The 18,090-nt window shown below is 38.3% G+C and overlaps 1 long non-coding RNA gene across 1 annotated transcript in view; it reads left to right on the forward strand.

Moving 5' to 3' along the window:
- The window catches only part of LINC01479 (long intergenic non-protein coding RNA 1479), a 40,783-nt gene extending 23,225 nt beyond the window's left edge, over positions 1–17,558 (forward strand). Inside the window, exon 3 of the long non-coding RNA NR_120456.1 lies at positions 17,353–17,558. This is a non-coding gene — a long non-coding RNA (long intergenic non-protein coding RNA 1479). The remainder of the gene's footprint in view (positions 1–17,352) is intronic.
- Positions 17,559–18,090: the final 532 nt, after the last annotated feature.

Below are 18,090 nucleotides of genomic sequence, written 5' to 3' on the forward strand. Positions count from 1 at the left end.
GTAGTAGTTAATACCTGGATGGATAGTTCAGGCTTGCAAGCCAGTCTACCTGGATACAAATGAAGATACTATCTATCACTTCTTAGCAGTGTGACTTGGAACAATTTTCTTATTTTCTCTAGGCTATTCCTCAGCTTCTTCTCTGTGAAATGGATATGAGGGGAGTCCTTGCATACAGTGTGTGTTATAAGGATTAAATAAAGCAGAATATACATAGGACTTTGAATAATACCTGGCACGTAATAAATACTCAATAAGAGTAATATATTATGATTAATCCAATAAACTTAGATTTTTAAAATAGTTTTATTAGTGGACAAAAGACTAGTGGACAATCTACTGTGTACAAAATGACATCTGACTTCATATGAAGGTGTTTCTGTGGTATAAAAATATTGACAGTAAAACAGACTTACAATATGTTGGCTTCTATTTTGACCTTTGCCATTTTGCCATTCTATTATTTCACTTTCATGAATTATAGTTATTTTTGCTCTCTTTTTTGTTTTGGTATGAGTGGTCAGAACCTGTTCTAGTTTGTTCTGTTGCTGTCATTGTCTTAACTTCCATTCTGAGCAGGTAGGACCACAAAATTAGACTGGGGCATGACCTTCGGACTGCCTTCCTGATGAGATGAGGGGTTGGGGAAGAACCGAAAGAGCATGGACCATGTGTTAAAACAAGACAACTTGCTCAGAAGTTAACAAATAGGAAAACATTTGTTTCAACTGCAGATTCCAGTCTAAAGGAGCTAGAAGGTAGCAATGTAAGTACCAGGCTTGGGGTGGTAGGGAGGAGGGAGAAGGAGGCTGGTAAGTTTTTATGAAAACCTCCAATCTCAAAATAATAAGAGCTATCTATGACAAACCCACAGCCAATATCATACTGAATGGGCAAAAACTGGAAGCATTCCCTTTGAAAACTGGCACAAGACAGGGATGCCCTCTCTCACCACTCCTTTTCAAAATAGTGTTGGAAGTTCTGGCCAGGGCAAATAGGCAGGAGAAGGAAATAAAGGGTATTCAATTAGGAAAAGAGGAAGTCAAATTGTCCCTGTTTGCAGATGACATGAATTGTATATCTAGAAAACCCCATTGTCTCAGCCCAAAATCTCCTTAAGCTGATAAGCAACTTCAGCAAATTCTCAGGATACAAAATCAATGTACAAAAATCACAAGCATTCTTATACACCAATAACAGACAAACAGAGAGCCAAATCATGAGTGAACTCCCATTCACAATTGCTTCAAAGAGAATAAAATACCTAGGAATCCAACTTACAAGGGATGTGAAGGACCTCTTCAAGGAGAACTACAAACCACTGCTCAAGGAAATAAAAGAGGATACAAACAAATGGAAGAACATTCCATGCTCATGGGTAGGAAGAATCAATATCGTGAAAATGGCCATACTGCCCAAGGTAATTTACAGATTCAATGCCATCCCCATCAAGCTACCAATGCCTTTCTTCACAGAATTGGAAAAAACTACTTTAAAGTTCATATGGAACCAAAAAAGAGCCCGCATCGCCAAGTCAATCCTGAGCCAAAAGAACAAAGCTGGAGGCATCATGCTACCTGACTTCAAACTATACTACAAAGCTACAGTAACCAAAACTGCATGGTACTGGTACCAAAACAGAGATATAGATCAATGGAACAGAACAGAGCCCTCAGAAATAACGCCGCATATCTACAACTATCTGATCTTTGACAAACCTGAGAAAAACAAGCAATGGGGAAAGGATTCCCTATTTAATAAATGGTGCTGGGAAAACTGGCTAGCCATATGTAGAAAGCTGAAACTGGATCCCTTCCTTACACCTTATACAAAAATCAATTCAAGATGGATTAAAGACTTAAACGTTAGACCTAAAACCATAAAAACCCTAGAAGAAAACCCAGGCATTACCATTCAGGACATAGGCATGGGCAAGGACTTCATGCCTAAAACACCAAAAGCAATGGCAACAAAAGCCAAAATTGACAAATAGGATCTAATTAAACTAAAGAGCTTCTGCACAGCAAAAGAAACTACCATCAGAGTGAACAGGCAACCTACAAAATGGGAGAAAATTTTCACAGCCTACTCATCTGACAAAGGGCTAATATCCAGAATCTACAATGAACTCAAACAAATTTACAAGAAAAAAACAAACAACCCCATCAAAAAGTGGGCAAAGGACATGAACAGACACTTCTCAAAAGAAGACATTTATGCAGCCAAAAAACACATGAAAAAATGCTCACCATCACTGGCCATCAGAGCAATGCAAATCAAAACCACAATGAGATACCATCTCACACCAGTTAGAATGGCAATCATTAAAAAGTCCGGAAACAACAGTTGCCGGAGAGGATGTGGAGAAATAGGAACACTTTTACACTGTTGGTGGGACTGTAAACTAGTTCAACCACTGTGGAAGTCAGTGTGGCAATTCCTTAGGGATCTAGGGCTAGAAATACCATTTGACCCAGCCAACCCATTACTGGGTATATACCCAAAGGACTATAAATCATGCTGCTATAAAGACACATGCACACATATGTTTATTGCGGCATTATTCACAATAACAAAGACTTGGAACCAACCCAAATGTCCAACAATGATAGACTGGATTAAGAAAATGTGGCACACATACACCATGGAATACTATGCAGCCATAAAAAATGATGAGTTCATGTCCTTTGTAGGGACATGGATGAAATTGGAAATCATCATTCTCAGTAAACTATTGCAAGAACAAAAAACCAAACACCGCATATTCTCACTCATAGGTGGGAATTGAACAATGAGAACACATGCACACAGGAAGGGGAACATCACACTCTGTGGACTGTTGTGGGGTGGGGGGAGGGGGGAGGGATAGCATTGGGAGATATACCTAATGCTAGATGATGAGTTAGTGGGTGCAGCGTACCAGCATGGCACATGTATACATATGTAACTAACCTGCACATTGTGCACATGTACCCTAAAACTTAAAGTATAATAATAAATAAAAATTAGAAAAAAAGAGAATTGCTTGAACCCAGTAGGTGGAGGTTGCAGTGAGCCAAGATTGTGCCATTGCACTCCAGCCTGGACAACTAGAGCGAAACTCTGTCTCAAAAAAAAAAAAAAAGAGAAAGAGATATTGGAAATAACTTTCAGATAGCTAATGCAGTTATTTGGCAGTATCTAAAAATAAGTACAAGAAGGGTTTATTACATCTCCTTCCTCTTCCTTTATATCCATTTATTGGCTGTGTGACCTTAGGAAAGTTACTTAATTTCTGTCCTTCATATTGCTGGATTTTTTAAAATGATTTTTAAAGAACAAGATATGTCATCATAACCCTATGTTAAGAATTAATATGTTTATGTTTATATTTTGTTTTCAAATGTGAAATATAAAACATAACATAAATATCCCAAGATTATGAATAAATCTCAGTCTTTTTCCAAAAAAAAGAAAACCTCCAAACTAAGTTTATATCTAATGTTTCCATCCCTTGATATAGTAAAATAAGATGGTAGGCTAATGGCACAGAATGAAGTAGTGCTAATTTATTCACATGGGTGTATCTCTGCAGGGTCAAGTGGAAAGCTAATAAATTAAACACGGTACTCTAATCTGAATGTTTGTGTCCTCCCCAAATTTATATGTGGAAAACTAATCGCCAGTGTGATTGTGTTCAAAGGTGGGAAGCCATTGGGAAATGATTAGATTATAAGGCTGGAGACTTTGTGAATGGGATTAGTGCCCTTATAACAGAAGCCCCAGAGAACTGCCCTGTCTCTTCAACCATGTGAGGACAAAGGGAGAAGGCAGCATCAATGAACCAGGAAATGAGCCCTCCCCAGACACCAAATCTGCTGGTGCCTTGACCTTGGACTTCCCAGTCTTCAGAACTATGAGAAATACGTGTTTGTTGTTCATAAGTCACCCAGTTTATGGTACTTTGTAATTCAGCCCCAGTGGACTAAGACACATGGCATTAAGTTGTCTAGCAAAAAAAATTTTGTTAGTGCACACTGAACTATCAATATAGTTACTTCTACTGAATCAAAGAAACATGTAAACTCTAACTAGTTTATTAAATTGCTGAAGTTGGTAAGATGCAAACAGAAAGCAACTTTATATTTCTTAAGTAATCTCTCAACTTGGTCTTCCCCAACCCTTGATGAAATCTTGGTTGCTCTAAGAAATCTCATTTTTCAACACACACATACACATCCAATCAGCGTAATATGAAAATTTCAAACTCTCACCCAATTTAAACCTTTTCTCTTTCCCTGAGCTGGGTCTGCTTCATGCTTGGAAACCTGCCAAGGGGAAGGGGTGCATATAAAGCTTGTTAGTTAAGGTTCTGGAACAGATAAATCCTGAAATACAGTGGCTTGGCACAATGAAAATTTAGTTTTTCTCATAAAAAGTGGAACCAGCTATAGTGGGATAAGGGCAACTCCACCAACTGCATGCTGCTGGAATTCTTGTGACAGGAGAAAAATAACTCCCTATTATTTTAGGTTATTAAAATAACCAGAAAGAAGAGATCACACTGTATTAACAAATAATGTGGTGGAGACAAAAGGACTGGACGGTGGTTTTGTTTTGATGTATTTTATTATTTTGTTATTTTCTGTTCTGTTCAGAAGGATGATTATTCAACTGAAAAATTATGGTAAAAGCATTTTTTTGGAGCAAATCAAAAATCAGAATAAGTGGCAAGATTGTAAAGAACACTCATTTGCCTTAGATGCATCAAAGTTTTTAAGTCTAGGGGAATTACCCAAAATATACAAGAGCGTTCTGATAGAGCCACTCAACCACCCTTTGTTGAGAGCTCAGCCGGAAGCCGAACCGTTACAGGGCCTTTGTGTCTGGTTTGCCCCCCGTGCTGGAAGCACCTATGCCCCACAACATCCTCATCCTGCTGGCTAATTAGTAACTTAGACCTAGGGCTCTGCTGAGGGTACGTCTTCTCCAGGAAGCCTTTCCTGACTCCCAAGGCTGGTGGAGAGACTACTGCTGCACGTTTCCTGAGCACTGACTGCACTGTCCTCAAGGGACTCATCACTAAGCCTTGACTGTAAATTAGCTGTAAGAGGACTGGACCTCAGTCCCTGTTGCATCCCCTGGGCTTGGCATAGTGCCAGGCACTATTGCAACTTAAGTGTTCAGTAAACATTTCTTAAATCAATGAATTAAACACATTATTGTATCCTTCTCGATCCTTGCTCATAGAAGAGTTTTCCTGCTCTAAGGCCAAAGCTAAATAAATCATTTTGTCTGAGCACGGAGGCATAGTCTGAATAGTAGTATACAGAGATACCTGGAAGAAGGAGTACAAAAATATACTGTCCTGAAAAAACCACTTCGTTAGGTCCAAAGCTGCAGCAGTGATATCTGGAAAAATATTCAATTCTTATGCCACTCAATACTCAAACAACCAATACACTGCAATAGTTTCCCTTAACCAAGCACTTACAGTTTGTCAAGACTTGTGCTAAAAATTGTAAAGTTTTAAATCCTAACAGTCCTGAAAGATGAAAATAATTCTCTCCCATTTTACAGTTGAAGAAACAGGCTCTGAGAGATAAAACGACCCACCCAGGACCTCACAGATGGCAGCTTCCAGAGGTGATCCTCAACTCTTGCACCTTGTGTTGGCTTCTTAGGGCTGCAGTGATAAAGTACCACAAATGGGTGGCTTATAAAAACAGAAATTTATTCTCTCACAGTCTGGAGGCTAGAAGTTTACAATCAAACTGTTTCTCCCTGAGACTCTAAGTAGAAGCCTTCTTTGCCTCTTCCTAGCTTTTGGTGGTGGTCATCGATGATGGGCATTCTTTGGCTTGCAGCTATGTCTTTCAAAGCACTGCCTGTCATCACGTGCCCTTTTTCCTGTGTATCTGTCTTCACATTATCTTCCCCATAAGGACACCAGTCATATTGGATCAGAGCCTACTTTAATGACCTCATCTTAACTGATTACAACGGAAACGATTCTATTTCCAAATAAAGTGACATTCTGGGGTACTAGGGGTAGGACTTCAACAGTGTGGACAGAGTTCAACCTGTAACACACCTATCTACTATTATACTTCTTCTCTGAGAAATGTGGGAGTGGCATGATTTTCTTAGTATTGAGAGCACAGAAAACAAATTGTTATGAAGGGGCGCAACAGAATAATAAAGTAGAGGGAATCCTAAAAAGCACATCTAAACACCAATTGCATTATTCCTAGTTCCCATCATGAAATTTCAGTCAATAAAATATATTCCTTAACCTATTTCCATCTTAATAAGGATGCTACTGCCACGACAAAGTTTAACAGAAGCAAAGTCTTACACTTAAAAAAAGGTTAATTTTTACATTAGGGATTTGACTTCATTATACAGAAAAAAATGTTAATTTGATCAATGTAAGGAACAAAAGCAGATGTGAGTTGGGTTTCATGCAGCTAATTGTCTAAGTTTAATCAAAAGATTATGTAGTATTTGTTGGCAGCAGTGGTAGATGAAGCCAGCTATTCACATACAATTTGTGCTTCCTCTTCCAGAGTGTGGAGTTGCCACTCAGAGGTTACATTACTACTCACCAATGGGATGTGAGTTGAAGTAATGTGTCACTTAAAAGTTTCATACCCTCATTTCCCATCCATTGGTTAGAGGTGAGAACGTCAAAGATGTAGAGGCTTAAGACAAAGGAGTGCCCTAAATTAGTGTGTAAAGGAAAACTGCCTAGCAACCGGGACACATATTGGACCATTAGGTTAGGTAGAAATAACAGGTTAGGGTTTATGTGTTATAGCAGTTAGTGCTATCCTAATTAACACAAAAAGATATACCTTATAGAGTATCACTACAATTAAAAATATTATCTTGGATTAAAGGTCAAGTGTATGCAATGAGAAAATGGATAATATAAGCTGGAAAAAAATGGAAACTAGTATTATACAGAGACAAAATATTTGGTAAAGTTGCCACGTGTCATAATTCAGGCAGACCATGTGTCTACTGCACATGTGGCTTTAAGAAAAGTTGTTGAAAAGAGTATTAATATAGGGTATTTTTCTTTCTACTTTTAGCAAGATATTATAAACAAAAAAAAGACCTTCAGCAAATCAGCAAAAATCGGCTCATTTGAAATCACAGCTGGACATATGTAACTTCACAAGGAGGAAAAAGCTAACTCCTAAAATCTGAGAAAAGAAGGACTGAAAAATAAAATCTTAAGAGGCCTATTAAGATTTCTCAGTTGAATCAAGTGATTCAGTCCCAGGGCAAAAACCAGCATAAGGCTATTTCAGTCCCACCCAAGCCTGTTCTTTCAAATGCCTCCAAAGAAGCTACTGTAAAGTTGAAATACAGGGACACAGGGAAAGGAAACAGAAAAAGCAGACATGGGAATCTACCTTTAGGAGATAATTTGGGATGTGATTATTGGTACATGGGACTGACTGAAAACAGATTAAAAGCCTACTATATTTCTGAGGGATTTTACTGCCAAAGACATCAGTAAAATATGTATTAGTCTGTTCTCACACTTCTAATAAAGACATACCTGAGACTGGGTAATTTATAAAGAAAAAGATTTAATGGACCCACAGTTCCATGTAGCTGGGGAGGTCTCACAATCATGGCAGGTGAAGGAGTAGCAAAAGCACATCTTCCATGGCGGCAGGCAAGAGTGTGTTCAGGGGAACTGCTCTTTATAAAACTGTCAGATCTCATGATATTTATTCACTGCATGAGAACAGCACAAGAAAACCTGCTCCCATGATTCGATTACTTCCCACAGGGTCCCTTCCAATGACATGAGAATTATGGGAACTACAGCTTAAGACATTTGAATGGGGACACAGCCAAACCATATCATAATATGTTGATTATTTGAGTCTTAAAACCCACTGGACCTCAAACTTCCATAGGGAATATATACAGTGAAAGCACTGCAAATCCTGTAGAGAGTATCCTTCCCAATGCCGACTTCATAAGGCCAGGGAAAATACCAGAAAAGAAAGATTTTTCATAAAATGGAGCCAGGCTCCACAGAGAACAAATGAGAGGAATTTTTCTCCCTGAGATTCAGGATCTGACCTAGGAACTTCTCTCCCCTTTAGGCTACCTCCTACATTCTTTCAATATGTCTCTTATTTTGGGAAAACTCATGTTCAGCTTTTTCTGGTTCATCTTATACTTTCTGTTCCATATTAAAATCAGCCCTGAAATCACATATTGTTCCAAGGAGGCCGACTTTCTCTTAATGGGGAATAGCTTTCAGTAATCAAGATTTGGTGTGGTGTGCTCATTGTAATTGGAATGATTTTACTTCTAGACTCTTTTATAGACACCCAGGGTTGAGGGGGATGAGACTGAGACACACACACACACACACACACCCCTATTTTTCTACATCTATTATTTCCCTGGATGATGCCATCTCAAGAGTTTGTATTTGTAGTGATGGTTTTTGCTGCAGCTCTGGGAACTGGCTCTAGATATCAAGAGGCTCTCGATATCTAGAGCCAGTTCCAAATGTTATTCAGTAAGGTTATATTTGACCTGTGATCTGAGGGACTCTGATCTCAGGGACTGTGGAAAGCTTGGGGCCTAGGCTCCCTCACCTAGGCTATGATAGAGACCTCTGGTTCCTCTCTTTTATATCATCCTTCAGGATGAGGAAGATTCAGGTCTCAGAATTCCTCAGATGGGGTGATATGCTTCCTGAATCCAACCCTTACGTAGCCACAGATATCAGTCACCAGGTCAGAGGAGCCATATCATGTGGGTGAGTATAGGATCCCCGAGTTTAGTTCTTTTTGATGTAGATGATTTTCTTCTGTCTTCTGACTTGCAGCTTTGAGATATACATATATAGCCACCACATATATTGATACTATGTACCAGGCACTGTTCTAAGCCATGTATCAATTAACTACTAGTTAATTTAATCCTCGCAAAACATTATGGATATCACGATCACTATTTTATATATAAGTAAACTGAAATAGGGTTAAGTAACTTACTCAAGACACATAGGCATTAAATAGAGAAATGTGAAATCAAAACTAGACTAGGTGACCCAAGCCATTATTCTAAACTTGTATGATATGCTATCTCACAGGTAACTTTGATTCTTTTCTTTTAGGGGGTATCTTGTTTTTTCTGTCTGCAAGCATACAAATTTTTCTTTTCCTTCTTGTGGCTCAAGAATTTTGCTATAATATGCCCAGGTATGCTGTTTAGTTTTGTTTTTCTTACCAAACTTACTTGGAATGTAGTATCTCCTTTCAAACTACGAATTCAGGTTTATGTTCAGTCTAGAAAATTTTCATCTATTACCTGTAAAATCATTGTCTCTTGCTTATCTTTTACATTTGTCTCTTTGTGGAAAACCTATTATTCTTACTCTAAGTCTTTGCACCCATCTATGTGTTTCCTTCATCGCGTCTGTCTCTACATTTTTGTTCATTCATTGAGGGATTTCTTTTACTTGGCATTTATGGTCACTAATGCAGATATCAACAGACTCCATTCTTTTCTTCAATACACCTATTGGTTTGTTTCTTTGTTTGAAAATCATGCTTTTTTTAGTTCCAGAAAACTTTTGAGATGGACTATCTGCTCCGATTCCTCAGGGATCTGCAGTAGTGCTCTTTCTCTGGGCACCTACCTCTGTGGTTTGGTCTTTCTCTGAATGATGGGACCACATCACTATATTCTTGCCATTTCTTTTCTTGGCTCATTTAGGCATATGACTGATATTTCTGGTACCATAAGTGACTGTTGTTCACCTTGTGGAAGGCAAAGCATTTTCTAATTTTAGGGACAGAGAAGGGAACCAGGAGGAAGCCTCTCTGCCCTCTGTCCTCACACAGTAAAGGCCAAGCCCACCTGCTTAGTTTTCCTTGCACCTCTTGGGGATTAGCAAGAACAAACATACTCACAGTATCAGTGCCAGTTTTACCCCTGGGAGTACACAAATTCCTTAGGGTCCTCTGGTTCTAATTCTTGCCCTAGGGCTCCCCAGTAAAGGTTTAGAGACTCCTCTGATGCTCAGGGAGAAAGATCCACACTTGCTTCACGAAGGGTATCACCTAGAGCCCAAGACCTGCCACTCTGATCTTGTGGATAGATGGAACTAGGGATAGAGGGAAAGTACGAAATGCTTAGGTTGTCTGCCATGTTTCCATTATCTGTCCTTATATTCAAAACAACTGAAAGAAGAAAAAACGTAATTACTATATTCAATATAGTTTCCCCAATATCAAGTTTTCATGCGTCTATTATTCAAACATCTCATGAAATTTCATTTTTACATTTTTAAAAATATTAACCAATTGGAATATTCTAATTATGAATTTGACATACATACCCAAACATGTATAATTTAGCTGAAGATAATTGTGAGGGCCAAGGTCAAAGAAAAATGTGCAGGAGGAAGAGACTGATTTCAGGGGGTTTTTGCTTCATTCAGTTCCTCAATAACCATATACCATTGATGTAGGCATCCCTTAATATGTAAAAATGGTAACTTTTACAGGCACTAGTAGATCAAGGCAGGGCTTAATAGCAAAAATTGAGCCGGGGTAGAGTTGAGATTCTCTTGAAAATAAAGAAGTACATCAGGACAACCACTTGGACAGAGGGTCTCTTAACTGTGTTTGGAGATTAATTAAGTTAGGGTATATATGTTAGGCCAAAGTTCTCCTTAGAAAACATTTACTGAGTAAGCTAGAGGTAAATGAGAAATCAAAGCCATAAAGTTCTATATCATGCTCATAATTTTAACCTAAAAAAATGTTAAGAGAAATATAAGTAGACAACCACTCTGGCTACATAAAATCTCAATGAAGCACCCATAGAATTCTTAACTTTAAAAAATGATACTTCCGGATTATAGTCTCTAAGATGAACCGTTTACAAAATGTGCATCACAGAAACCAAATGAAATTGTTTTCTCTTTGTCACCTTATCAGAAATGTCTTTTCTGACCACCCTACTCCTTTCTCAGCTGTTCTTTGTTCCTTGTGCTTATCACCATCTGATACATATGTTTACTTGTTTATGTGTCAATGAGCAATCTCCTCCCCAGTTGATTGTAAGCTGAGAGCAGGGACTTTGTTTCACTCATTGCTGCCTACCTAGTGCCTAAAAGAGTACCCAAGATATGATAGATAATAAATATCTACTGAGTCAACGACTGATGGACTGATTGACTGACTGAATTATTTCTATGCTAGGCAAAATCTACTTGGTATCTTCACAAATAGTGATTTCAGTTTTGGAATATTTGATTTGTAACATTATCTTCTTGAACTTACTAAATTGCAGGATCATTCACCTATTAAATCCACTGCTGGATTTAGATATTAGACCCTGTCTTCTGTTTATAAGGAAATTTGTATTTTTACTCTTATTGAGGTGGGTTGGGCCCAAAGACTGGGAAAGTACACATCAAGTTATCAAAAAAGAACTTCACTTTTTTATTTCTTTAATTAAGAAATAATTTTTATAAGGGGAGGCCAGAATTCATTCATATTTTCCCTTGTTTGAAAATATTAAATTATCCATCCAGAATTCTTCCTCTTTCTCTTCCTATTCTTCCTCTCTCTCCTTCCTTTTTGAGATCTCAGACTAACGGACATTACTCCATTGATACATCTTAACTTCATCTTTGTAAGAGGTGAAGATAAAGTCCTATTTTTAGTATAATTTACTTCTAGCGTAAACTTTTACTGTGCACAATTCTATATCAAAATTGCACATTATTCCAAAATTTTAAATACTCTTTTTAGTGTAATAAAGTATCTCTAACACAAAATAGCAGTTAATGTCAAAGTCTTACGAAACTGGATGATTAGACCGTGTTCCTCAGAACATAGTTGTAAGATCTGAGAGCTATAGAATAGTAAACAAAAAAATGAAAACAGAACATGAGCATCTGCAGGGCTTGGTTTATCAATGTCATTTTCATTAAAGTCTCAGAAATTTCAGAGATATAAGCAGTAAGAAATACAGATTTAATTATTTCATAAAATATGCAGATTTATTGCATCTACAGTAACACTACAGTAATACTATTATGCTCAGTAAATGACAATGTTTCTTTAAAAAACAGTAATTTTATGCCAAGTTAATATTTTGAAGGATCTCTCTCCTTTCAATTCTTGAAGTATTTGTGGGTTAATGACATACCAACTCAGTGAATACACTTAGGACACTTATCCGATAATTTCTAAGGCAGTGAAAGTAGCTGAAAATGTTGCCTTCAGAATTAGAAGGTGGGGGACTGAATCCTGTTTCTGCCACCCATTTGCTATGCAATCTTGGGCATGTGGTTGAACCTTTATGCCCCCTCTTTTTCCCATCTGTTCAATGGGGGTTCAAAAGCAAAAGTAAGAAAAGCACTCACAGTACTGGATTGTATTGTTCTGAAGATTAAGAATTAATCCATCTGAAGCACCTGAGACAATGCCTGGCACATAATGGAACACAGTATTTTCCTGGATTCCTTTGACTTTCCAAAAGGAATCAAAAGGATTTCTGAACTACAAAATACTGGATTATCAGAACTAACTGTATCTGCTTCATAAAGTTTCATGGAGCATAATAGATTCTAGTTTAGGTTAACTGGCTTTGGTTGCGTTTCTATTTCCACTTAATTTCTTAAGTTGTTCTACATGGCTCTCTGGAAAGCAGGAGTGACACTTCCATTCTACCATATGATTGGCAAAAGTCTTCTGTTCTAGCCCTTGACTGAGTAGATTCCGCTTAGAACAAGGATGTTTTGTCCTTGTTCAAAAAATATATCTTGTACAGCTTAAGACTAGACCTCTAACAGAATCACTGATTTATTAATTTCTCCTTTGGCCAATGGAAAGAAAAGCAAAGTTTGAGGCTCTTGTCTCACCTCAAAGAAGTGCATTTTATATTTCTTCAGAGCTTTCAGATACCAATTTCAATACATTCTTCTCTGACAAGCAATTAACATGCAGTGTTTTAAGATTAAAGCTTAACATTCCACAGGAGACAGTGTTTAACTCTAGAAGGCCAGCTTTCTCCCAGGGGACCTCTTACCAATATCTTTGCAAGGACATATTCATGGTAACTAACTAGAGACCTAGATTTTGTTCTTGTGAATGCTACTGACCTTCAATTTCACTAAGAAAGTATCCTCTGAATAGCTTTATGTTTAGAATTCTGTTCTCTTTTTATACCTGCAAAAACAGTGCTCTTCTCTGAGCAGAGCCCCCTTTACAAAGGGTTAACTAGTATGCCTTGTAGTTTTTAGGCTACAGAAATAATTTTATTTGCTAGATTTATTCAGAAATACAGTTTCTAAAGATATCTAAGACTCAGTAAGATAAAATAAAGACTTTTAAGGAAGGCACATTAAAGCTACTCCTCTCTGCTTCTATATTTTCCTTGTCTTAGAGTATGCGTCTGCTGGTGTGCCATTGGTCTGAAATAGGTCATGTGGAGAGAGGAAACTGAAATATTTACCATGGAGCTGACCAATGATATACTTTTTAGAGGTGATGCATGAGATGTTTTCTATTGCTGACCCAAGCTACTTCTGCCTCTTCTTTCCAGCTAACAGAATCCCAATTTGTTCAGATAGGGACCTTCACCAGGGATGAACTATGACTGAGCTAAATAAACCAGGCTTTCTAATCTCATCCCTTTTGGAAGTAATTGGTCTGATGATGAGCAGGTGACCTAGTTCAACTGCAGATGGAGACACCTGGAGAGGACTTCTTTTCCTGACTAAAAAGACAAAGCTGTGCAAAAAGGAAAGATTTAACTTTCTCCCCTTCTTTCTTCCTGGAATATGGCTCTGGTTCCTGAGATGCAGCAGATGTTTTGTGACATGAGCAAAAAGTCCAAGGATGAAAGGTAAAGATGAAGATGGAAAGGCCCTGATTCCTTGGTGGGATCATGGAGCAGTTGAACCTACTCCAGCAACTGTCTGCCACTGGAATTCTCGTAATAGAAGAAAAATAATCCCCTATTCTATTAGGTTACTGAAGTTTGGTTTGCTGTTTCTTGCGATTGAATGCCTAACACAGATGGGCTCTCCTGAGGTTTGTTGTGAGACTCTATTGCTAACATAATAAGCAATCTGGGTGTCTTCATTTGGGTTCCCTCAATAACAGACCTTATGACAAGGATTAGGGTGCAAGTGGTTCATTTGAGAGGCAAAGGAAATATCAATAAGCAGTTAGGGAAGTGAAACAGAAAAAAGCAGCCAATAAAGGGTGCATTATCAAGCCAGCTACCACTGTGAAGAAACTCTACAAACCAACGGAAAACACATGCCTCAGGGGTAAAGGAGCTAGGGTATTTACATACCAACTCATTTATTGGTTGAGGAAGGCTTCCAGGGAACATTAATACCCTGGCATATCTGTTTACCATATAGGAGGCAAACTGGGCTTTAACAGTCAGAGAAAGCCCTCAGGAGAAGAAATGCAGGCACTGATCATTGAAAGTCCAGCTAGCACGCATTGAAAAACTAGGAGATATGGAAGGACAATCAAGAGCATCTGCTGCAACTAATGAGCTGCTGTTACAGGCAAATACAGGTATTGAGTTAACAACTATAATCGCTGCATTCATCTCTAATAAGAGACATTTTAAAAGTACCTTACAGACACGTGTCTCCCTGCTAACTCCAAGTCTAAGTATAATCAGACTCCTCCTTCCCCAATAAATCCCCATAAACGTGCCTCAAAAGTCATTGGCTATTTCTTCCTGAAGTCAAAATTGATGGTAAAATAAAAAAGGTATGCATTCAACATGCCCTTTGGCTCTGACTTATGTTGGCCAAGGAAGGGAAGAGGATTGGGATTTAAGTGAAAGGTGAACAAACAGTATTCATCTTCCATCTGTATTTAGTCTCATATTTCCTCCCTATCCTTCCCATCCTGGTTTCGAGAAGTAACACCTGCCGGGCACAGTGGCTCATGCCTGTAGTGCCAGCACTTTGGGAGGCCGAAGCGGGTGGATCACCTGAGTTTAGGAGTTTGAGACCAGCCTGACCGATATGGTGAAACCCCGTCTCTACTAAAAATACAAAAATTAGCCAGGCATGGTGGTGTACACCCGTAGTCCCAGCTACTAAGGAGGCTGAGGCAGGAGAACTGCTTGAACCCAGGAGGCAGAGGTTCTAGTGAGCTGAGATAGCACCACTGCACTCCAGCCAAGGGACAGAGATTCGTCTCAAAAACAAAGTTACACCCTACTCTGTTTTAAAAGTTTTCTCATTTCTCTTCTCTTTCTCCACCTTCCTGCAATACATTCATAAGACCTGACTCACCTGTCTCATAATTCCTACTCCACGGTAAAAATAAAACATTATGATATGCTCCATGTGTTAGTTCATTTTCATACTGTTATAAAGAACTGCCTGATACTGGGTAATTTATAAAGGAAATAGGTTTAATTGACTCACAGTTCAGCATGGCTGGGGAAGGTCACAGAAAACGTACAGTCATGGTGGCAGGTGAAGGGGAAGCAAGACACCTTCCTCACAAAGCAGCTGGAAGGAGAAGTGCCGAATGAAGCGGGGGAAGAGCCCCTTATAAAACCATCAGATCTCGTGAGAACTCACTCTCTATCATGAGAACAGCGTTGGGGGAACTGACCCCATGCTTCAATTACCTCCACCTGGTCTCTCCCTTGACAGGTGGGGATTATGGGGATTACAATTCAAGATGAGATTTGGGTGGGGAGACAAAGCCTAACCATATCATTCCACTTATGTTTTATTGGATTTACATATTTTTTGGAGGTGGGTTAATATGGTTGATAAAAGTAGCACTGGACTAGAAATTTTGCAAGACCCAAATTCTTGTAGCAAATGTATAAATATTCTAGCTGAAAGAACATGTGCAATGCACTTACCTTTTCCATGGCTCGGTTTCCAGATGAAGAAAATTCAGGGTTTGACAAAACCACCTCTAATGACACTTCCTACTCTGAAGGTCTAATTCTTCAATTGACTTGGAGCCTGGCTGCTTCTGTCTATGTTGTGTTTATTTTATTACTCAGGTTATTTCCTCCTAGAAGGCTTTCTATGGAGCTAGTCTAACTAGGCAGTGAAATAGGAAGCTAGCCCCATGATCCTCTTGAGATGAAACTAAGGGAAGGAATCCTTTCCTCAAATTCAAACCCTACTGCCTGTTATTCTACCAGTATAGTTTTATTTTATCATGTAAAGGCTTTGCCAGTTTTACTAAGTATCATTTTGGAGAATGCGGATTACTCTTTAATGAACAAATATCGGATCAATTAACACTATAGCAGAAAATAATGGGGGTGGGAAGGGTAATGACAGGTAGGGGAATAAAGACCAGAAGAAAAAAATAAAGAATGAGGCTAAGGGGGAAGATAGAGGGTGTGGAAAGACGAACTTTGCTTAATTTGTCATTTTATTCTGCCTGACACCTCCTTTATACAATGTCCAGCATAGCCCCAAGTCATGTGCGGGTGAGTGATTTTGATGGGATAATGACATGACACTTTTAGTCAATGGTATTTATGGAGGACAGAATTACTTGGGAAGAATGAAATTAAATCAAAACGAAAATACATTAAACTCCTTTTGTTTCAGAAATAGAATCTTATTTTCATGCTGAATGGGTCAGCATCCATACTTTGAACTTTTAATAAATACACGAAAATGTAAAAAACATAACTTGCAACAAAATTCTACATTTGTTAGCTTTAAAGTTATTACCAAGCTCTCACCTTTGCTTATATAACACCTGTCATTTTTCAATCTAAATCAGCCATATGTGCTTCAACGGAGAATAGCCTGCTATTTAGAGCTTTCCAGCCATTATCACAAAATCAGACCACCACTCAGCACGCTGTCACTCAGACAGAAAAGAAATGCCATCTTATCTGTGCAATTTGTCACCCGAATGCTCTGAAGCTCCTTTGCTTCACAGCTAGGGTGCAAGTTAATTCATCCAACAAGCCAGACATCATTTTCCTAAAAAGGTCAGCTTGATACACTCAGAGACCACAAGCATGTATGCAGCAAGCTTCCAACAGCCACCTTGATATCTTTCCAGCACCGTCACATTTGCACATGATATAAGGAACTAGCTCAAGAATTGGTGGTGAGTCTATGGGCTGCCAGATTCTCCTATCTGTGCTGAAAGAAACAATGGAATGTCTCTTGGATCCAAGTTCTACTCAAGCAGTTGGTGTGAATTTTCAGTTGGCCTCTGTTCCCCAACTATAGCCTGAAATCTTAGAAACATTTGTTTCAGCAGGACAGCTGGTTCTTCAAGTAAGAACACTCTTCAGCTCTATGATCATGAACATGACATTTCTTTTTCTTTTTAGCATAGCCCATCTGGATTCTTTACACTAAGGCAAGAGGCAAGCAGAAGACAAAGAGAGAAAGCAGAGGACCTCCGGGAAAGGAAGCCCCCTTTTCAGTCGGCCTAGGCAGAAGTAGATTTACTCTGAGGATTCACTCCAAGGGTGAAGTTTTAAGGGTGCTTCACTTGCTCTGGTTTCATAAATAAATTTTGATCTTCTTAAATACATTTGGATTAAATTTTCATGTTTTTTTCTAAAAGAAATTGTACAAACCTGAGGACCCATGAACTTAGTTTCACCCCTCCTACTGGGGAAGCCTAGCAACTCCAAATGGCCTTTGTCACCATCTGATTCTTAAATTCTAATTTCCACATTGTTGTGTAAAAACAAGAAGCTATAGATAACAGTTGAGTTGTAAAGTTATCTGGTGTACTTTATTATTAGCAGTGATTGATGTGGATAATGGACAATCTGGAAAATCCTGAATACTTAACAAACAATATTATTTATATCTATCCATTTTACTTTACATGCATAGATGGAGGCTTTTAAAGAGTGTTACTTGTGAAACATGTTTTTAAAATTATTTTGTCCTATCTTATGTTATTAGACCCCTGAGAACTCAAGTTTATAGAGATTAGCAATATGATTTTTATAAATATTTTTAAGTACTTACCTCCCAGACCATTGTAAATGGGATGGGCCATAATTACAAATTTATCATTAAAATAAAAAGAATGTTAAGAAGCATATAAAAAT

The sequence above is a fragment of the Homo sapiens genome, chromosome 12 (assembly GCF_000001405.40).
Source record: "Homo sapiens chromosome 12, GRCh38.p14 Primary Assembly".
In the NCBI taxonomy this organism is placed as follows: domain Eukaryota; kingdom Metazoa; phylum Chordata; class Mammalia; order Primates; family Hominidae; genus Homo; species Homo sapiens.